The 21951-nt window shown below is 52.8% G+C and overlaps 1 protein-coding gene and 1 pseudogene across 5 annotated transcripts, besides 2 other annotated features; one reads left to right on the forward strand and one right to left on the reverse strand.

Moving 5' to 3' along the window:
• Nucleotides 1753–10390, reverse strand: PIANP (PILR alpha associated neural protein). Of its 5 annotated transcripts, none has more exons than XM_011520926.4 (6): nt 10189–10390; nt 7620–7679; nt 6862–7367; nt 6018–6099; nt 5005–5226; nt 1753–2021 (listed from the first exon to the last, which is right to left on the reverse strand). In XM_011520926.4, exons 2-6 carry the CDS (start codon nt 7634–7636, stop codon nt 2000–2002), a joined length of 849 nt encoding a protein of 282 aa, XP_011519228.1. In that variant the 5' UTR covers nt 7637–7679; nt 10189–10390; the 3' UTR covers nt 1753–1999. The 5 variants fall into 5 exon arrangements, with proteins under 5 accessions (XP_011519228.1, XP_047284444.1, NP_710152.1 ...); XM_047428488.1 differs by lacking the exon at nt 10189–10390 and adding an exon at nt 9710–9990; NM_153685.4 differs by lacking the exon at nt 1753–2021 and adding an exon at nt 3366–4632.
• Nucleotides 6357–6466: an enhancer, noted in NCBI's record as "active region_5875". NCBI's record gives its function as "activates an Ori minimal core promoter by ATAC-STARR-seq in GM12878 lymphoblastoid cells {active_cell/tissue: GM12878}" and the evidence as "EXISTENCE:reporter gene assay evidence [ECO:0000049][PMID:35858748]".
• Nucleotides 9170–9671: an enhancer, noted in NCBI's record as "H3K4me1 hESC enhancer chr12:6808761-6809262 (GRCh37/hg19 assembly coordinates)". NCBI's record gives its function as "activates a minimal SCP1, AML or CMV promoter by ChIP-STARR-seq in primed H9 embryonic stem cells {active_cell/tissue: H9 hESC(primed)}" and the evidence as "EXISTENCE:reporter gene assay evidence [ECO:0000049][PMID:30033119]".
• On the forward strand, nt 19027–19127 carry RNU6-781P (RNA, U6 small nuclear 781, pseudogene; annotated as a pseudogene).

Raw genomic sequence — 21951 nt, forward strand, 5'->3', positions numbered from 1 at the left:
GATTGTCAGTTCCTCATGGAAGGAAATACGTTGCTTTGCTGAGCATATAGTAAATGCTGAATATGTTGTTTGAACAAGTGAATGCTGTTACAAGCGTGCACCCCGACCTGGCCAGAATCCCCCTGGGCTCAGCTCTAAGCAGAACTGAGGTCTCTCCTACTAATGGTAAGAGCCTCTTGCTGAGAAAAATAACCTTTTTTTTTTTTTTTTAAAGACAGAGTGTCACCCTGTTGCCCAGGCTGGAGTGCATTGGCGCCATCTTGGCTCACTGCAACCTCTGCCTCCTGGGTTCAAGCGATTCTCCTGCCTCAGCCTCCCTAGCAGCTGGGATGACAGTCGCCCGCCACCACACCGGGCTAATTTTTTGTATCTTTAGTGGAGTCGGGGTTTCACCATGTTGGCCAGGCTGGTCTCGAACTCCTGACCTCAACTGATCCACCTGTCTCAGCCTCCCAAAGTGCTGGGATTACAGGCGTGAGCCACCACGCCCAGCAAAAAATAACTTTAACAGAAATAATTATAATGCTCATTTTACAGATAATGAAAATAAGCCTGTAAAGGATTAAGTGATTTTTTCCCCCAAGGTCAAAGCAAGAAAGTAACAAAGTACGCCTTTAAATATTTAAATAGATGATGCATTTCATTGTAATTGTAGTTTGTATCTTTTTTAAAGTGTCTGTTCCCTTTATCACATTTTTGGGCTCAGCACTCAGTCTCTGTTGACTGAGTAGCAACAGTTGGCAGAGTAAGGATTTTAAGGGCTCAGATGTGACCAGACCTATTGCTGTGTGGGTTAGAGATTGCTGATTCAAGAAACCTTGACATCAGGGGCTGGTATTGAAAGGTGGGAACAGGAAATAGTAATAATAGCTATACGTTCTGGTTCTCCTCCTGCTCTTTTCCTATTTATGTTAACTGGGCACTTCCTGGGTCTCCGTGTCTCCGTCAGCCCTATTCCTGCCCTTGCTATAAGAAGGAAGTTTCCCAGCTACTTGGGAGGTTGAGGCAGGAGAATCACTTGAACCTGGGAGGCGAAGGTTGTGGTGAGCCAAGATTGCGCCATTGCACTCCAGCCTGGGCAACAAGAACTAAACTCCATCTCAAAAAAAAAAAAAAGAAGTTTCAAGTGCTTTGAACTCCTTAGGGAAAAGCTTTAGAACAATAAATGTGGGGCGTAGGGGGAGGAGGGCTGTTAATTTTAGCCTGGGGTTCTCCAGCTGGCATACTGTTTCCATCTTGAATCACTTCCACACCCTAAGCTGTGCCTGGGAGATCCCTCCCTCCTCCTGGGGGCTTCCCCATTCCCTGGTTTGGTCTAAGCCGCAGTGGCAAGCATTCCAGAAAAATGCTAAGAGAAGCCTGGCTGAGTCATTTGATGCACAGCTCAGGAGGCAAAGAAAGGATGGTGATGAGACGCTGGTTCCAGTGGTGGCTGTGATGTGTGACCTCGAAGAACCTTCCAGTTCCCAAAAGGACAGCATGGCCATTGTTTTTTTCTTGGCTAGTGACTCTGCTGCAGCTTTCTGAGGACCTCTCAAAGCCCCACAGTCTCTGTTTCAACTACAGGAGAGAAAAGTTAGGGCTTGCTCCCCAGGGCCTTACGACTCTTCATGGCTAACGTGACAGTGCAGTATCATTTGGGAGAATTTTTTTAGTACAGTTCAGAGTCTGGAACAGTCTCCTTCCTCCTCTGTCTTTCCTGCCTTCTGACTTTCCATGGGGAAAGGAGGACATTTAGGAAGAGGGAACAGGTGAGGATTTCCAGTACCTTGCTGGTGTATTTTAATTTATTTAAATTTAGAGAAACAGTGGTCTAATCAGGCAGTAATTAATTCCCTCTTCATTAGGGGCCTTCATGTTTGCCTTTTGCATATGGATGAGCCACGGGTCACACTGTCCCTTTGAAGAGAGATCCTTGCTGAAGGTGAGAGCCCAGTGTGCTCTCCGGCACTTGAGCTCCTTCCCCTTCTGTGCCAATGCTTCTCTTTTCTCCCCACCCTCACCTGACAAGGACTAGATTCCTGTGGGGAAAGAAGGAAAGGTTAATGAAGCTTCCTATCCCACCCTCCTTGGATCTGGATCCCTCCCTCACGGCCCACAGTGTATACCATCCATGCCTCATCCTGTACCCTCAGGTTTTATCCAGCCCGCTCTCCCATCAGCCACCTGCTGGGATATCTTCATGCCCCCAGTGAGTTGACTCCTCAGAAGCTTGTTTGCCGGGCACCTCTGCTTTGAGTTGGTTCATCAATCCTTGGCCCAGCTCTGCTTCTTTCCCTTGTAGCAGTCCTTTTCTTAGGGAGTGTGACGCCCTGAATGCACACACTGCTCTAATCCTGAGAAATACACTGCCTCTTCCTGGCACTCAGCATTATGTGCTGCACAGGCTCAGCCACACTTCCCTCAGCTCACAGTAAAGCTCCCAACACCTAAAGCACACACCTACCAACACACAGACATTCCTAACCTAGCTTGAAAGATAAATGCATGGGGGCATATCCAGTCCAGAGCAGCCCAGGCCACCCTTTTGTACACTACATCATCCCTATCCTCCCTGGGGCCACCGCATTTCCAGGGAGCAAGTGGGGCACAGATTGGGGGAGGGGGGATAGATGGGACCTGGGTGGTTACCATAGCAATAGAGCCTAGCAACAGCTGAGAGGCTGATGTGTGGGTTTTCACAGGGCTGTTACAAGAGCCAAACCTAGAAATTGGGGACTGAGAGGTGACTGATCCCAGCTGGGCAGCCTGCATTCCCTCCCCAAAAACACCCCTTGATCCCACCCCCACACCCCTGCAGTGCCTCTCTCTGAGAGGGCAGAGTAGGGAAAGCTAACGAGTTAACCACAGGGCTTCTGATTCTGCACAGCTTTTGGGGGGCAGCTGTGGGTGGGGGCAGGTTAGGGAGCAAAGCTGAAAATAAACCAAGCAGGGCAGCTTCTTTCGGATGGCTGGCTCCCTCTCATCTTTTCTCCATTGCTCCATTTTTCTCTTCTCCTTTCCCCCTTCTCCCTCCGTCTGTCTTATCAGGTCTCTCTTCCGCCTTGATCCACCTCCTATCCTTCCATGTAACTTTCCTTTTCTTCTGTCTCCCTTTTTTTGGTCTCTCTTGACCCTCCCTGGCAAGGAATAAGTGAGCCACGATTTCTATTCTAGTTTCTCTCTTGTACCACTGCTCCTCGTCAGGATGGCTCCCTTCCATTTTGTCCCAAGTTAAAGCCCCAGTTGGCCCCCAGCTCCAGGTCAGAGGAGGGCAGGTGACTTAGGTCTAGAGGGGGTCCCCACCTCATCCTGTGCCTCCTCCTAGCTGCCCACCCCTCTCCTCCTCTCTACGGGGGTCAGAAGGCAGAACCAGGGGACTCGAGTATCTTGCAAAGGCTTTATTTGAAAATTTTGAAACTTACATCCCACAGTAATTCAAGATGATCACCACAAGAAGAAGAAAGAGATAATACAAAAATATATATCACAGCCTAGGAGCCAGGGAAGAAGGGAAGGAGGAAGGTGGAAAAACCAGTGAGAAGGAGGGAAGAACCTGAGGAGGGGGAAAGGGCAGGGAAGCAAAAGGAAGGAGAGTGGAAGGAAGGAGGGAGGAAAGGAGGGGACAGGAGGGAGTCCGGGAAGGGAAGGGTAGACTTGGAGGCAGAGCTCCCGATGGCCTTGAACCAGCTGACTCCGGTCCCTGGCAGCCTAGGTGGAGTTAGGGAGGCCCAAAGGGAGGCTGGGAAGGGAGGACTGGCTCAGGGGGCTCTGAAGTCCAGAGAATGGCACACACACAGACAGCCAGGACAGACAAGACAAAAGGGACTGTAGGAGAAAGGGAAGGGCAAATGGGAGTCCCTTTCTCATGTAGTGCAGCAGGCGACTCCCCAAAACCCATCTGTCAGAAAACAGATTTTAGCAGTGGGCTGGGGGTGAAGTCTGGGGCCTCACTACCCCATTCCCAAGGGGGAGCCCTCAGGGTGATGCCGGCATCCTTGGAGTAGGATGGGGAGACAGAGAAACAAATGGTGTGGAATGGGACGAGACCATGACCGATGAGGGCCCAAGGAGCCCCCAGCTCACCTCCCACCCACCTCTGGAGCAGCACGCAGGGGCTGCGGAAACGAGGTGGGTGGGTGTTCATGAGGGAGAGAGTGAGCACGCCGCACACCACCACAACATCAGGCCGGGAAACGCACATGAGAGGTAAAGTGTGCAGGAAACGCTGACCACTGAGTGAGCTGAGCACAGAATGTGGGAAGGAGAGAGTGCAAATGTGAGACGAGAGAACATGAGAGTCAGCTGAGCGGAGCGGTATGGACGGGGAGAGGGTGCAGGAGCGTGTGCAAATGGCCTGTGAAGGTGGAGGTGAGTGTGCAAGGCTTTCATGTGAGTGCACAAGGGTGGGGACAGGGACCCGAAGTCACAGATATGTGAGGCCCCCACCTGCAGGAGGGCGAGCAGATAGGATTGCCCGTGGGGCTGGGGAGTGTTCCGGGTGGTGTGCAAGGGGCAGGAGCCAGGAGCCCCTGTGGCCCCAGCTCCCCACAGCTGCCCCACCCTCAGTGGGATGGGGGCTGTGCCGGCCCCTTGGCCTCCTGCTTGGCTGCACCCCAACATTGGGGGCATCACAGATTCACCAGGGGAATCCTGAGAGGAAGAGGGAAAGGGCACAGTCAGGAACCAAGGGGTAGGCCAGAATAGAAGGGGAAGTTCAAGACAAAGAGGGGGAATCAAGGTTAAGAGGGCAGAGTTGTCTTAGACAAGGTGGCATGAGAAAAAACCAAAGAGGGCAGAGTTGGAGTTATGGGCAGCAGAGAATAGGACACAGATCCTGAGAGACTGGGAGAAGGAAGGGTGCCTCCCAGAGAGGAGCTGGTCCAGCCCCCTTGGGAGGGCCAGGGGCTGTGGGAGGCCACGCCTGCCTCCTCACTACCCATCCAGAGGGCACCCCCACCCCAGCTCTGAAGACCTAAGTTGCCTTCCCTCTTTGCCCTCCCATCCCATTGCCCCTGCCCTCACCGGTTCAACTGGAAGGCTGGAGCCCCCTTGGGGTGGGGCATCCCAGGCCGGGGTCCCCCTCGGGGCTCCTCATGGTCAGGGGTGGGGGTAGGTGAGTCCCCGAAGGCCCCCAGCACAGTGACTCCAGCCGGGGACAGGTCTGTCAGTGGCTGCTGGCTCTCCTCCTGCCTCAGGGCACCTTGCTGCCCTGAGGGTCTGCGTCGCTTCTGGCTGCGGTCCCAGCTGGGGTACCAGAGGAAAAGAGGTTCTCTTGCACACTCAAGTAGCCCCCATCCTGGGCCTGCACCAGTGGTCACCCCCAGCCTCGCCCAGTCACTCCCAACATCTTATAGCAGAGAAACTGGCCTTTAACAGTTCTCTCTACTAAATCCCCTGGGACTCTGTGCCCATAAAGCCACTTCCCCTGCCCTCTAGGGGAGCTTGGTAATCTAAACCTCCTTACCCTCCAAACCTGATCCAGATCGACAAAATTAATATCCCCTCCCCACCACCACAATGTCCTCTCCCCTACATGCCCAGAAGAGTCATTTCTGTCTTCAGCAGACAACTGGCAGGTTTAGTTCTAGTTCAAAGCAAGCTGATGACTTGGACACCTGAGTCTAATGATTCTCTCAGTAAAGTGTGAAGGACTGAGTGATCCATTATTAAATGTGTGCAAAGAAAGCTCCAGGTTTTCTTGCTCCCCCCAGGCAACCCTAAGAAGGGCTCTGCAGACTGGGTCAGCTTTCTCTGTCTTGGAGGAAGTAGGGGCAGGGGAGGCTCACCAGGAATGCACAGGAATAATTCCCCTGCCCTCCCTTATCCTTGTATTTCCCTGGGAGACAGAATCTGCCCTGATTTCTCACCGTCTTCCCCCAGCCAAATCCTTAATTATCTTTTCCCAAGGTCTTGCCTTCATCCAGCATTTCCCACCCACCCCCCAGCAAAATTGCTGCCACTGCCCCTCGTGGTTAGAGCCTCGACTGCCAAACATTCCGTCCCCATCCACCAGCACCTTCCTCCTCCCAGCTTACCAGAACTTGAAGATGATGCCAGTGGCCACGAGAACAATGATGATGGAGATGGTAATTGTGACATAGAGCTGGGGGTCCACACCTGATTGGGGTGGGAAGAAAGTTTTAGGGAGCCCCGAGGTGGTAGGAGCCAAGAGGGGCTGGGGGCTGGGCTGTGGGCTCTGTCGGCTGGAGTGGCATTGCTGTGTGGATCCACACTGCCGGCTCTGTCTGCCCCTCTGGAGCCTCACTCTTTATTATCACCAGCATTCCCCTGAGTTTTCAGCTCTTTTCCTCCACTTTCCCAAATGTATTTCACCAAATCTTATGTGTATATGTGATGAGGATGAGGCCCCATGATCAGCGAGAACCTATCACTATGCCTGGAAACTAAGGGGTGGAGATGTCCTAGTCTCTGCCATGGCCCAACTCCCAAACCACAGGCCCTGTTCCTCCATCAGCACTCCCTGAGCCAAGACATCTCCCGGGTAGTGCCCTTCATTCATGGCATTCTCTGCCCAGAATACTCCCACTCTCTTTTCAAGGGCCAGCTCAAATGTCAGTTCTCTGAAGGTGTCCTGATCCCCAAGCAGGAGGAGACTCTCACTTCTCTTTTTTTGTAAATCATGCTGCACATGCCTCTATTAAAGCATTTATTACGATGACTCCTCTCCAAGTCCTTTCATGTCTGTCTGCTCCAGTGGACCTGAACTCCGAGAGGGTGTCTTTATCTCTGCATCCTGTGCCAGTATAGTGCCTGACACATTTGTTGAAGGAGCTAACAGACAAGGCCTCTATTTCTGCCCCTTGGTGTCTTCACCCAGCCTCCCCATCCGTCATATCCCTCCCAGCCTTTCCCACTCACCTTCCCCACGGCCCCCGAACAGGAATGGCCGCAGGGTGGCAGGTGCCTCTCCAAGGATAAGCCCATCTCCATCACCTCGCATGGAGTCTGAGTTGGGGTGTGGGGTTGCGAGCCCATGAGGGGCTGCAAAACCATAGTCCAGAAATCCGGGATTGGCAGAGTTGGGGTCCCCTCCATCCTCTCGAGACACGGTGGGACCCCACACGATAGCCCAGGGGTATTGGGATGAGGGCGGCCCCTCCTCAAAGCCTGATGGGGTGGCTGGGGGTGCAGTGCCAGGCAGGACTTGCCGACGTGATCTTGGGACCCGAGGAGATCGGCTTGGTGGAGGTGCTCGCTCCCACACGCACACATGACGTGGGGCCGAGGGGCCTCCCCTGGCACACGGGGGGCGGGCTGGGGCTGGTGGGGTTCGAGGGGAGGATGAAGAGCCCTGAGCAGGCGGTGGGAGGGGCAGCAACAGCAGTGGCCAGAGAGGGAGGAGGTGGGACAGCAGCAGCGCAGGCCTGCAAGAAGGGAGAGAGCGTGGCTGAGACACAGGCCTACTGTGGGCCTATGTGAGGGAGGGACAGGTTCACACCAGAAACCTCCAGGTTTCCCTGTGAAAGCAGGTGGGCCTTGGGAAGACTCGCCTCATTTCCCATCTTCCAAAGGAGGATGGCCCTCAGGATGGGAAGGCTCTGGATGGGTCTAGGAAGGAAGGAGTCATGGCCCCAGGGAATGTGGTCTCCAGGCTCCCTCTGCTGGGCCAAACTTACCACATCCTGGACTCCATGTCTGAGGTCTTCCTCAGCTGTGACCCAGATTTTCAGCCTTTACTGGGAGAAAAAGGGGGCCGTCACACCCCAGCCCTGCCCTGTGTACTTCCCCAGCTAATTCATCCACCAATTCTACCCGCATCTGCCCTCCCAGGCCACCCAGCTGCCAGCTATGCGGCTGCACCCAGGATTCACTGGTTGTTAGCATCCTTTTGGGGGAAAAACTCCAGCGTGGTTGCCTGACCAGACTCCAGCCCCATCTACAACTTCTCAGGTCCCTGTTACCTCTCCACCCCAGGGTCTACTCTGGCTTCTCTGATTTCCCTTCTTCTCACTTCCTCTGCCCACAGCTCCAGGCTTTTCTTGGATCTTAATTTAGAGCCAAGAACCTTGTGATTCCTTGAGCACCTACCGCTAGGGAGGGAGTCTGAGGGTAGGGGGAGGGATGGGGAAGTCAATCTGAGCAAGCCAGTGAGTGTGTGTACGTGCAGGGGGGCCCTTCCAGCCCTCCCAGCCCTCCCACCCCTCTGGCAGTGCCAGGCATTTGTCTTATGATTAGCCCCAGGAGTCTGCATCTTCAGGAGAAAGGAATGAAGAGCTGGAGGGATGGAAGGAAAGAGACAGAAAGAGAGAGGTGAGTGGGAGAAAAACTACAGAATATAATTTTTGCTCTTAATGTTTAATCATCCAAGTGCATAGGTGCCCTCTGAAGGGAGGTGGAGTCAGGAAGAAACCACCCCCTCAAATGTGGCTCTCCTGGGTAAAGAATCCTGGGAAAATCGGGATGGTTGGTTTTGAAAGAGAAAGGGTGTGTTCTCAGAGCTGAGGGTGGTGGATCCAGGAGGGGCAGGCTCCCCAGAGGGAGTGAAGATAGGATACCCGTTTCCTGTGGATTCTGGGTCTAAATCTGCCCAATGGGCCAGACGCAGTGGCTCACGCCTGTAATCCTAGCACTTTGGGAAGCCAAGGCGGGTGGATCACCTGAGATCAGGAGTTCGAGACTAGCTTGGCCAACATAGTGAAACCCCGTGTCTACTAAAAATACAAAAATTAGCCGGGGGTAGTGGTGGGCGCCTGCAATCCCAGCTATTCAGAGGGCTGAGGCAGAAGAATCCCTTGAACCTGGGAGGCGGAGGTTGCAGTGAGCTGAGATCACACCATTGCACTCCAGTCTGGGCAACAAGAGCGAGACTCCGACTCAAAAAATAAAATAAATAAATCTGCCCATTGAATCTTCCCAGAGAACAACAAGGGAACAAGATGGGAAAGTCACGGGAAGGGCGTGGGGAAGCAGGCAGTGGGAGAGATGGGAAGGGGTGAAGGGCTGGGAGATGGAAGGCTGGTTAAGAGTGAGAGAGGAGAAATGTGAAGAGGAAGCTGGCCTGGAGTGCAGGGTGAGAGAGAGCAGGCAGTCCTGAAAAAGAGAGAACTGGGAAGAGAGGAGGAGAGTGGGTACAGAAGACTCGAACTGTGGAGGATGCCGAAGGGAGGAAAGGATGAGAGAAAAGGTCAGGGAGGGGAAACGGAGAGGATGAAGGGGTCACAGGTGCAGGGGAAGAAGGGGCAGGAGGAGAAGGAGAGAGCGGTCCAGGCAGGACAGCCAGAGGAGTGGAGAGTAAGGGGATGGGAGAAAAGGGGGGAAAGCCCAGGATGGGGAGAAAGGAAGTGGGGAAGGAGAGAACATAAATGCTTAAGGAAAAATGACACGAGGAACGGGCTGGGAAGCAGAGGCGGGAGCAGCAAAGATGGAGGAGTTCGGAATTGCTCCCCCAAATGTAAAGGGATGTGGAGATACCGAAAGACATAGGGATGGGGGCATGGTGGGAAGAAGGGAGAGAGAGGGGAAAGGAAGAAAGCTAGAGGGAGGGAGCGAGGCGTGTAGAGCGAACCAGTGAAGCGGAGAAGGGCTCCCAGGGCGCATCTGTGGCCAGCTGACTCTAGGACTATCGCCCCTCCGCCTGTGCATCCCCACCCCCAGCCAGCGCCAACCCAGTCCCTGGGCCCCGCACAGCTTCAGCCGCCCCCTCCAGGAAGCCCGCAGTCCCCGGGCTGGCGCGCCACCCCCACCCCTCTCCCAGCTTCTCACCGACCTGTTGTGCGCAGGAGACGAGCTGGGGGTGGGGCAGGAGCCTCGGGGTGCGGGAGCCGGGCCCCAGCCCCAGCGTGGCCCCCATCCCACCCATCCCGCAGGCCCGCACTCCCCGCACAGGGCTGGAGAGCGGCGAGAGTGGGGGGAGACGAGGAAAAGGAGGTCGGCGAAGGGACCCCGAGGCAGGGAGTGCCGAGAGCGGACTGGGGACCCGAAGCAGGAGACTGCGCGGAGCCGCCCGCCGAGCCGAGGCGGGATGGAGGCAGCCGCGGGGACGGGGACGGCTGCGCCAGGGAGGGCGGGAGCGAGCCAGGACCGCGGAGGGATGGAGAGCCCTTCGGGGAAGGGGCGCTGGGAGGCTGGAGGCCTTGTCCCGGGCGAGGGACCGCGTCGGGAGGGGCAGGAGGCGCAGGGCGCGGAGCCGGGAAGGGCAGGGCCGGGCTCCCCGCGGGTGGGGGCGTGGGGGTCCCTCTCACTCACCTGCATGCTTGGCGCGGCGGCGCGACGACTGCGGGCGCTCGGGACTGAGCGGGGCTGGGGGGTCGCAGGAGCGGGCGGGGTGCGGGGCATGGTGGGGAGGTTTGGCCCGCGGCAGGGCGCTGGAGCGGGTGGGGGGCGGGCGCCTGGGGCGCGGGGCGGCGGCGGTGGGAGATGCTCGCCTCGGCTCGGCTCGGCTCGGCTCGGCTGGGCTCGGCGCGGCGGCTGGGACCGCTCCGTCTCCGTCTCCGCCTCCCCCCCGCGCCGGAGGCCACGCACGGTTTAACCCTCCTGCTGCCGCGCTGCAGGAGTCAAGCCAGGCTATGTCCCAGGTGGAGGGCTGAAGAGGCTGGCAGGGTCCAGCGACCGTCCGCTTCCCTGGGTTCTGATGGCAGTCTCCCCACCTCCTTCACCCCAACTCCAGGGACACCCATGGTCGCCTCAGTCAGTTTCTGAGATTCTGAGTCACTCAATGCTCTGCATTCCCAACTTTGTTCTTTTGTATTGTGTTTTGTAGAGATGAGGTCTCGCTGTGTTGCCCAGCCCGGTCTCGAACGCCTGGGCTCAAGCGATCCTTCCCGCTCAGCTTCCCGGAGTGCTGGGATTACAGGCGTGAGTCACCACTGCCTGTCCCCCAACTTGGTTTTGCCCGCTGTAGAAAGTGCCTGAGGTCAAGGCTGGGGGCAAGGGGTGGAGGAAAGGACTGGGGAGGAAGGACCTTGCACCATCTTTGGATTATCCCCACAGCTTGATCCCCTATTTCACTCTGGCCCTGCTACCATGCATTAAGTGGATCACGTCGAAATTCCTGGGCTTTTCCAGCACTGGAATACCTAGACTCCGTGCTGTGACTTACAAGACCCTATATAACCTGGCTCTTAGGTGGCTCTCTGATTGCCTTTCCTAAAGATTTCTATGCTTCAGCCACATGGGACCTGGTGGATTTCCTGGTTGGAGACAGGTTTAACCTGCCTCAGGGCCTTTGCACTTGCTGTTCCCTCAGTAATACATTTCCCTGGCTTTTCACAATGACTTACTGTTTTCATTCCAGTCTCACTTAGATCCAACGCCTTCTGGGAGGCCTTCCCTAATGTCTCTATCAAAAGTAGCCTCTCCTGCCCCTTCTCCCACCACCTGGATCCCATCCCTCTCTACCACACTACGCTGTTTTTCCTCAGGGCACTTCCAGGACACCACACTCTCCTCATTTCCCTCCAACCTCACTGACTGTTCTTAGTCTTCCTCGGGTGACCTCTAAATGTTGGAGCCTCCTAGGGCTTAGTCCTTGGCCATTCTCTCTTTCCACATTCTCTGTCCAGTGATCTCATCCGGTCCCAGGGCTTAAATACTATGTAAATGTCAGTGAGTCCTAAATTTATATCCAGAGCGCCAGACTCATTTATCCGACAGCCTACTTGACATCTCCACTTGGATGTCTAATAGCCATGCAAAGCTAACTTGACTAAAATAGATGTCTTGAATTCCCCCACCCCCAATCCATTTTTCTCCCAGTGATCCCCATCCTGAGGCTTCACAACTACTAGTTGTTCAGGCTAAAAATCTAGGAAACATCCCTCCCTTCCCCTTTTTTTCACTGATTCTCTCCCTGTATCTAATTCACCAACAAGTCCTGTGGGCTCTGCGTCCAAAATATATCCCGAATTCATCTCCTTCTATCTTTATTGCTATAGTCTTGGTCTAAGCCATCATGTCTCATCCAGATTATCATAATAGCTTCCTCACTGGTCCCTGCTTCTGCCCTTGTCTTTACAAACTAGTTTTTCCTATATTGATAATATTTTAAAAATCAAAAGCATGTCATGCTCTTCTCTGCTTAAAATATTCGAGTGGTTTTTCATTACACTTGGAATAAATCTGAACTCCTTGTAAGGAGAAGCCCACCAGCCTGTACCCACCTCATACACAGTGCTCCTGCTGGATCAGACTACTTGCTGTTCTGTAACATCAGAAGTCATTCTCTTAGCATCCCTGCACTTTTTTTTTTTCTCGAGACAGTGTGTCTCTCTGTTGCCCAGGCTGGAGTGCAATGGCACGATCTCAGTTTACTGCAACCTCCGCCTCCCAGGGTCAAGCAATTCTCCTGCCTCAGCTTCCCAAGTAGCTAGCGTGTGCATGCAGGGGGGCCCTTCCAGCCTTCCCAGCCCTCCCACCCCTCTGGCAGTGCCCACTAGTGCCCTGCTAATTTTTGTATTTTTTGTAGAGACAGGGTTTCACCATGTTGGCCAGGCTAGTCTTGAACTCCTGACCTCAAATGATCCACCAGCCTTGGCCTCACGAAGTTCTGAGATTACAGGCGTGAGCCACTGCGCCCGGCCCCTCCACTTTTGATTCCCTCTTCCTGGAATGTTTTGCCACCCCTCTCCCCATCTTCACCTGGTTGGCTCCTTCATCCCTGCTCAAAATCTAAAGTGGCCCCCACTCTGTTTCCTCATTATGTTTCATTGTCTTTCCAACTCATCACTTTCTATTTGTTTATTTATTTATTGAGATGGAGTTTTGCTCTCGCAGCCCAGGCTGGAGTGCGATGGTGCAATCTTGGCTCACCGCAACCTCTGCCTCCTGGGTTCAAGCGATTCTCCTGCCTCAGCCTCCCAAATAGCTGGGATTACAGGTGCACACCACCATGCCTGGCTAATTTTTGTAATTTTAGTGGAGACGGGGTTTCACCATGTTGGCCAGGCTGGTCTCGAACTCCTGACCTCAGGTGATCCTCCCACCTCGGCCTCCCAAAGTGCTGGGATTACAGGCGTGAGCCGCCACGCCTGGCCCGACTCATCACTTTCTGAAATGATCATATATGTGTTTACTATTTACTGTCTGCTCTCTCCTGCCCCCCTATACATTAGAGAGCCAAGATCTTATTTGTCTTGTTTACCGTGTATCCCTACTCCTACTGCAGTGCCTTGGAATGTAGTAGATGCTCAACATGTACCACTTAATGAACTTCTTCTGGGACCCCTGCCCACTCTGAACTCTTTTAATTCTCTCCTCTGCTGTCCTCCAGCCATTCCTCTCTAGCTGCCTGCCCCCTACTGATCTCTGCCCTACGCCAAATGCTTCAGGTTGAGCCCTTGCTCATGTCCACACCCCTTCAGATCCTCCTCCTTCATTTGCTGCATTGTGACCCGTTGTCAGCCTGGCGCTCCTGCCTCGTGAAAGGAAGGAAGCCTGCTGTTCTGACGAGCATCTGCAGCAGCTGCCCTCTTGCTTGCGTGTCCCTGACAGCCCTTCATTTGAGGTCAGAACAGCAGCGAGTGAGCCGTCCTCCTAGTGTCTCCCAGTGGTGGGGGAAAGACAAGGCACACTGGATGTGAACCCGGCCAAGGGGCCATGTGAGTCAGGTGCGCAACTCCTGCCACCTCCTGGGCCCCTTAAGCCCCAGAGCATCCTGAGGATATGCTCCAGGTGAACTCATGTCACTGGCATGGACCAAGTTTATCAAGTGAATATTCATGTTCAGTGTAAGTGCCTTTGACACTGAGGACCTTGGGTCATTAATTATTTCTATTATTCTTGATTCATTCATTCTTTCCACATTTTTTTTTTTTTTGAAACAGGGTCTCACTCTGTTGCCCAGGCTGGAGTGTAGTGGCACAATCATGGCTCACTGCAGCCTTGACCTCCTGGCTCAAGCAATCCTCCCACCTCAGCCCCCAAGTATCTGGGACTACATGTGTGTGCCACCATGCCAGGCTAATTTGTGGTGGTGGTTGTTTTTTTTTGTTTTTTGTTTTTGTTTTTTTTTTTTGGCAGAGATGAGATTTTGCCACGTTGTCCAGGCTGGTCATACAAATATGGTCATTTAAATGGTGTGACACGCCAGGTACCGTGCCATGGCTGGGGATACAGCGGAGAGCAAGAATGAAGTCATCACTGTCTTGGTGGAGCTTACAGTCTGGTAGGGAGACAGTGCAGTGATAAATGTGACTTCAGATGAATTTGAGGACCTACCCACACTCTACAGTCTCTATACAGTCTCTATACATCCTTGTCCTGTTTCTGGCTCTGCTGGTATCTTCATCACTATCTCTGGGCTCATTTTTAATTAATTTATTTATTTTCAGAGACGGGGTTTCGCCGTGTTGGCCAGGCTGGTCTCGAACTCTTGAGCTCAAGCAATCCTCCCACCTTGGCTTCCCAAAGTGTTGGAATTACAGGCGTGAGCCACCGTGACTGGGCTCATTTAGGGTGAATTTCTGTTTTCTGTCCTCAAATATCCAATATTCTTCTTCTGAACCCTTCTCTCTCTCAGCTGATGATCTTGCTTGCTGCTTTTCTGAGAAAATGGAAACAAGCAGGAGAAAACTTCCCCACTCCCACCAGCACACCCTTAGCCCCACTGCACCTACTGTGGGGAATCTCAAACCCTGCCACCCACCCAAAGTCATCACTCCTGCAAATGTCCCTCCCTCTCCTGCAGCATCACTCTTCTCCTGTCTACTTTTTTTTTTTTTTTTTGAGACAGTCTCGCTCTTTCGCCCAGGCTGGAGTGCAGTGGCGCTATCTCGGCTCACTGCAAGCTCCGCCTCCCGGGTTCACGCCATTCTCCTGCCTCAGCCTCCCGAGTAGCTGGGACTACAGGCGCCCACCACCGCGCCCGGCAAATTTTTTGTATTTTTAGTAGAGACGGGGTTTCACCGTGTTAGCCAGGATGGTCTCGATCTCTTGACCTCGTGATCCGCCCGCCTCGGCCTCCCAAAGTGCTGAGATTACAGGCGTGAGCCACCGCGCCCGGCCCTCCTCCTGTCTACTTGATCATTGCCAGCAGCACACAAACACGCTGTAATTACTCCCAGCTTAAAATATCCTCCTCAACTGGCTGTCCGGCCCCAGCCTCTGCCCTTCTCTGCTTCCCTTTACAGGAAAGCTTTCCAAGAAGATGCTCTCTATTCACCATCTCCTCTACTTCTCCAATTCTTTCTCTTTTGTATCAACTTAAATCTAAACTCTTTAACTTTTTTTTTTTTTTTTTGGGACAGAGTCTCGCTCTGTCACCCAGACTGGAGTGGCCTCCCAAGTAGCTGGGACTACAGGTGCCTGCCACCACTCCCGGCTAATTTTTTGTATTTTTTAGTAGAGATGGGGTTTCACCGTGTTAACCAGGATGGTCTGGATCTCCTGACCTCGTGGTCCGCCCACCTCGGTCTCCCAAAGTGCTGGGATTACAGGCATGAGCCACCGCGCCCAGCCTAAACTCTTTAAATTTTGTAATTTACTTTTTTTTCTTTTTGAGACAGGGTCTCACTGTGTCGCCCATGCTGGAGTGCAGTGGTGTGATCACAGTTCACTGCTGCTTGGAACTGCTGGGCTCAAGCACATCCTTCTGCCTTAGCCTCCAGAGTAGCCGGGACTATAGGTGTGCACCACCAGCCCAGCTAATTTTTAAATTATTATTTTATAGAGGTGGGGGGGTCTCACTATGTTGTCTAGGCTGGTCTCCCCAACTCCTGGCCTCAACTCAACACCTTAGCCTCTTTTTTTTTTTTTTTTTTTTTTTGGAGGCAGAGTCTCACTCTGTTGCCAGGCTGGAGTGCAGTGGCGCGATCTTGGCTCACTGCAATCTCTGCCTCCCGGGTTCAAGCAATTCTCCTGCCTCAGCCTCCCAAGTAGCTGGGATTACAGGCGCATGCCATCACGCCTGGCTAATTTTTGTATTTTTTGTAGAGAAGGTTTCACCATGTTGGCCAGGATGGTCTCGATCTCATGACCTCATGATCCACCCGCCTCGGCCTCCCAAAGTTCTGGGATTACAGGCGTGAGCCACCTCACCTGGCCTAACACCTTAGCCTCTCAAAGTGCTAGGATTACAGGCATGAGCCACAGCTCCTAGCCCCTGTTTTTATTTTTATTTTATTTTATTTATTTTTTTGAGATAGAGTCTTGCTCTGTTGCCCAGGCTGGAGTGCAGTGGCATGATCTCAGCTCACTGCAACCTCCACCTCCCAGGTTCAAGCAATTATCCTGCCTCAGCCTCCCAAGTAGCTGGGACTACAGGCGCAAGCCACCAGTCCGGCTAATTTTTGTATTTTTAGTAGAGACGGGGTTTCTCCATGTTGGTCAGGCTGGTCTGAAACTCCTGACTTCAGGCGATCCACCCATCTCGGCCTCCCAAAGTGTTGGGATTACAGGTGTGAGCCACTGCGCCTGGCCTATTTTATTTTATTTTGAGACAGTTTCACTCTTGTCGCCCAGACTGAAGTGCAGTGGCGCTATCTCTGCTTACTGCAAACTCCGCCTCCTGGGTTCAAGTGATTCTCCTTCCTCAGCCTCCCAAGTACCTGAGCTACAGGCGTGTGCCACTACACCCAGCTAATTTTTGTATTTTTAGTAGAGACAGGGTTTCACTATGTTGGCCAGGCTGTTCTTCAACTCCTGACTTCAGGTGATCCACCCGCCTCGGCCTCCCAAAGTACTGGGATTACAGGTGTGAGCCACCATGCCTGGCTCCCTGTTTTTAAAATATAGTTTTCAGCTGGGCACAGTGGCGCACGCCTGTAATCCCAGCACTTTGGGAGGCCAAGGTGGGCGTATCAGGAGGTCAGGAGCTCGAGACCAGCCTGGCCAGTATGATGAAACCCCGTCTACTAAAAGTACAAAAAGTAGCTGGGCGTAGTGGCGAGTGCTTGTAATCCCAGCTATTTGGGAGGCTGAAGCAGGAGAATCGCTTGAACCCGGGAAGCAGAGGTTGCAGTGAGCCAAGATTGTGCCACTGCATTCCAGCCTGGGTGACAGCGAGACTCCATCTGAAAACAAAAAATTTAAAAAAAAAATTTTTTTAAATAAAAATAGGCCAGACGCGGTGGCTCACACCTGTAATCCCAGCACTTTGGGAGAGTGAGGCGGGTGGATCACGAGGTCAGGAGATCAAGACCATCCTGGCTAACACGGTGAAACCCCGTCTCTACTAAAAATACAAAAAATTAGCCGGGCGTGGTGGCAGGCGCCTGTAATCCCAGCTACTTGGGAGTTTGAGGCAGAATTGCTTGAACCCAGGAGGCGGAGGTTGCAGTGACCCAAGATTGCACCACTGCACTCCAGCCTGGGTGACAGAGCAAGACTCCATTACACACACACACACAAATAAATAAACAAATAAATAAATAAATAAAAATAAAAGAAAGTAAAAATGGACAGGCACGGTGGCTCACGCCTGTAAGTCCAGCACTTTAGGAGGCTGAGGCGGGTGAATCACCTGAGGTCAAGAGTTCGAGACCAGCCCAGCTAACGTGGGGAAACCCCGTCTCTACTAAAAATACAAAAAAAAAAAATTAGCTGGGCGTGGTGGCGGTCACCTGTAGTCCCTCTACTTGGGAGGCTGAGGCAGGAGAATCGCTTGAATCAGGGAGGTAGAGGTTGTAGTGAGCTGAGATCACAAGACTACACTCCAGACTGGGCGAGAGCAAGACTCCGTCTCAAAAAAAAAAAAAACAAAAACAAAACAAAAAAAACTACTACTGCTAACTTTGGCAACACATATAAGAACATTGGAATTGAGAGGTGACAGCGTGCTGGCAGTCCTCAGAGCCCTCGCTTGCTCTTGGCACCTCCTCTGCCTGGGCTCCCACTTTGGCGGCATTTGAGGAGCCCTTCAGCCCACCACTGCACTGTGGGAGCCCCTTTCTGGGCTGGCCAAGGCTGGAGCCCACTCCCTCAGCTTGCAGGGAGGTGTGGAGGGAGAGGCATGAGCGAGCGGGAACCGGGGCTGCGTGGGGCGCTTGCGGGCCAGCTGGAGTTCCGGGTGGCCGTGGGCTTGGTGGGCCCCGCACTCGGAGCAATGAGGGACTTAGCACCCGGGCCAGCAGCTGCGGAGGGTGTACTGGGTCCCCCAGCAGTGCCGGCCCACTGGCGGTGCGCTCAATTTCTCACGGAGCCTTAGCTGCCTTCCTGCGGGGCAGGGCTCGGGACCTGCAGCCCGCCATGCCTGAGCCTCCCACCCACTCCGTGGGTTCCTGTGCAGCCCGAGCCTCCCCAATGAGCGCCGCCCCCTGCTCCATGGCGCCCAGTCCCATCGACCACTCAAGGGCTGAGGAGTGGGCGCAGGGCACTGGGACTGGCAGGCAGCTCCACCTGCAGCCCCAGCGTGGGATCCTCTAGGTGAAGCCAGCTGGGCTCCTGAGTCTGGTGGGGACGTGGAGAGTCTTTATGTGTAGCTCAGGGATTGTAAACACACCAATCAGCACCCTGTGTTTAGCTCAAGGTTTGTGAGTGCACCAATCGACACTGTATCTAGCTGCTCTGGTGGGGCCTTGGAGAACCTTTGTGTCCATATTCTGTATCTAACTAATCTGATGGGGACGTGGAGAACCTTTGTATCTAGCTCAGGGATTGTAAATGCACCAATCAGCACCCTGTCAAAACAGGCCACTGGGCTCTACCAATCAGCAGGATGTGGGTGGGGCTGGATAAGAGAATAAAAGCAGGCTGCCTGAGCCAGCATTGGCAACACGCTCTGGTCTCCTTTGACATTGTGGAGGCTTTGTTCTTTCACTCTGCAATAAATCTTGCTGCTGCTCAGTTTTTGGGTGCGCGTTGCTCTTATGAGCTGTAACACGCACTGCGAAGATCTGCAGCTTCTCTCCTGAGCCCCGCCAGACCATGAGCCCACCGTGAGGAACGAACAACTCCAGACGCACTGCGTTAAGAGCTGTAACACTCACCGTGAAGGTCTGTAGCTTCACTTCTGAGCCAACGAGACCACGAACCCACGGGAAGGAAGAAACTCTGAACACATCTGAACATCGGGAGGCACAGACTCCAGACGCACCACCTTAAGAGCTGTAACACTCACCGCCAGGGTCCACGGCTTCATTCTTGAAGTCAGTGAGACCAAGAACCCACCAATTCCAGACACAGAATGACACAGATTAGCATGGCCCCTCCACAAGGAGGACACGCACCTTCATGAAGCATTCCATTTTTTCATAAATCAGAAAAATAGAGCGGGCAGGCACAGTGGCTCACACTTGTAATCCCAGCACTTTGGGAGGCCAAAGTGGGAGGATTGCTTAACTTCAGGAGTTTCAGACCAGTTTGGGCAACATAGTAAAATGTCATCTCTATGAAAAATTTAAAAAATTAGGCCAGGTGTGGTGGCTCACACCTGTAATCCCAGCAATTTGGGAGGCCAAGGTGGGTAGATCACCTGAGGTCAGAAGTTCGAGACTTAGCCTGGCCAGTATGGTGAAAACCCGTCTCTACTAACAATACAAAAATTAGCCAGGTATGGTGGTGGGTGCCTGTAATTCTAGCTATTTGGGAAGCTGAGGCAGGAGAATCGCTTGAACCTGGGAGGTGGAGGTTGCAGTGAGCCGAGATCGTGCCATTGCACTCCAGCCTGGGTGACGAGTGAAACTCTGGTGTTTTTTTATTTTAATTTTTTTTTTGTATTCCCAGCTTCTCAGGAGGCAGAGGTGGGAGAATTGCTTGAGCTCAGGAGTTTGAGGCTGCAGTAAGCTATGATTGCACCACTGCCCTCCAGGCTGGGAGAAAGCAAAACACTGTCTCCAAAAATAAAAATTAGGCTGGGCACGGTGGTTCACGCCTGTAATCCCAACACTTAGGGAGGCCAAGGTGGGCGGATTACGAGGTCAGGAGTTTGAAACCAACCTGGCCAACATGGTGAAACCCCGTCTCTACTAAAAATACAAATATTAGCTGGGCATAGTGGCACGTGCTTGCAATCCCAGCTATTCAAGAGGCTTAGGCAGGAGAATCGCCTGAACCCAGGAAGCAGAGGTTGCAGTGAGCCGAGATTGTGCCACTGCATTCCAGCCTGGGTGACAGCGAGACTCCGTCTCAAAAAAAAAAAAAAAATAAAAAATAAGTAAAAGAATAAAAATGGATGGGTGTGGTGGCTCATACCTGTAATCCCAGCACTTTAGGAGGCCGAGGCAGGCGGATCACAAGGTCAGGAGTTCTAGACCAGCCTGCCTAACATGGTGAAACCCCATCTCTACTAAAAATACAAAAATTATCCGGGTGTGGTGGTAGGCACCTATAATCCCAGCTACTCAGGAGGCTGAGGCAGGATAATTGTTTGAACCTGGGAGGCGGAGGTTGCAGTGAGCCAAGATCGTGCCACTGCACTCCAGCCTGGGTGACAGAGCAAGACTCCATCTCGAAAATAAATAAATAAATAAAAAATTAAAAAAAATTAGCCTGGGCAACATAGCCTCTATAATAATATCAAAAATTAGCTGGGCTGGTGGCACACGCCCATAGTCCCAGCTACTCAGGTCAGGAGGCTGAGGCAGGAGGATTCCCATGAGCCTAGGAGTTCTAGGCAGCAGTGAACTATGATTTCAACACTGCATTCCCAGATAGGCGACAGAACTAGACTCTATCTCTAAAAAATAACTGGCTGGGCATGGCATCTTATACCTGTAATCCCAGGACTTTGGGAGGCTGAGGCAGAAGGATTATTTGAGCCCAGGAGTTCAAGATGGACCAGCCTGGGCAACATAGGAGACTCTGTCTCTGCCAAAAAAAAAAAAAAAAATAGCCGCATGTGGTGGCACATGCCTGTGGTCCCATCTGCTTGTGAGGTTGAGATGGGGGGATCTCTTCAGCCCCAGAAGTTGAGGCTGCAGTGAGCTATGATTGCACCATTGCTCTTCAACCTGGGTGACAGAGCGAGACTGTCTTAAAACATAAATAAATATGGCCAGGCGCAGTGCCTCACACCTGTAATCCCAGCCCTTTGGGAGGATGAGATGGGTGGATTGCCTGAGTCCAGGAGTTGGAGACCAGCTTGGGCAATGTGGCAAAACCCCATCTCTACAAAAAATACAAAAATTAGCCAGGCATGGTGGCACGCACCTGTAATCCTAGCTATTTGGAGGCTGAGGTGGGAGGACCACTTGAGCGTGCAAGGTTGAGGCTGCAGTGAGTCGAGATTGCACCACTGCACTCCAGCCTGGGCCACAGAGCCAGACCTTGTCTCAATAAATAAATAAAATATTATATGTAGCCTTCTAGCACTGTTTACTTGCTTTTTCACTCACTATTACATTTCCAGGATTTAGCCATATTGTTCCATGTGACTGCAGTTCATATGTTTTCACTGGAAGGTAAAGTGCTACTGAGTGAATATACCAAATATATCATACTTTGTCTATTCTGTTGACGTATTTATGAATTGGTTTTTTTTTTTTTTTTTTTTTTTTGCTATTATAAACGTTGCTGGCCTGACACGTGGCTCACCCCTGTAATCCCAGCACTTTGGGAGGCTGAGGTTGGGTGGATCATGAGGTCAGGAGATTGAGACCATCCTGGCTAACATGGTGAAACTCCGTCTCTACTAAAAATACAAAAAATTAGCAGGGCGCGGTGGGGGGTGCCTGTAGTCCCAGCTACTCAGGAGGCTGAGGCAGGAGAATGGCGTGAACCTGGGAGGCGGAGTTTGCAGTGAGCCAAGATCATGCCACTGCACTCCAGCCTGGGCGATAGAGCAAGACCCTGTCTCAAAAAAAAAAAAAAGAAAAGAAAAGAAAGAAAAATCAGCTTTGGCTGGGCGCTTTGGCTGGGCACGGTGGCTCACGCCCCTAATCCCAGCACTTTGGAGGCTGAGTTGGGTGGATTACTTGCAGTCAGGAATTCGAGATTAGCCTGGCCAACATGATGAAACCCCAACTCTACTAAAAATACAAAAAAATTAGCCAGGCATGGTGGCACATGCCTGTAATCCCAGCTAATCAGGAGGCTGAGGCAGGAGAATTGCTTGAACTTGGAGGCAGAGGTTGCAGT

Source organism: Homo sapiens, chromosome 12 (assembly GCF_000001405.40).
Source record: "Homo sapiens chromosome 12, GRCh38.p14 Primary Assembly".
Taxonomy (NCBI): Eukaryota; Metazoa; Chordata; class Mammalia; order Primates; family Hominidae; genus Homo; species Homo sapiens.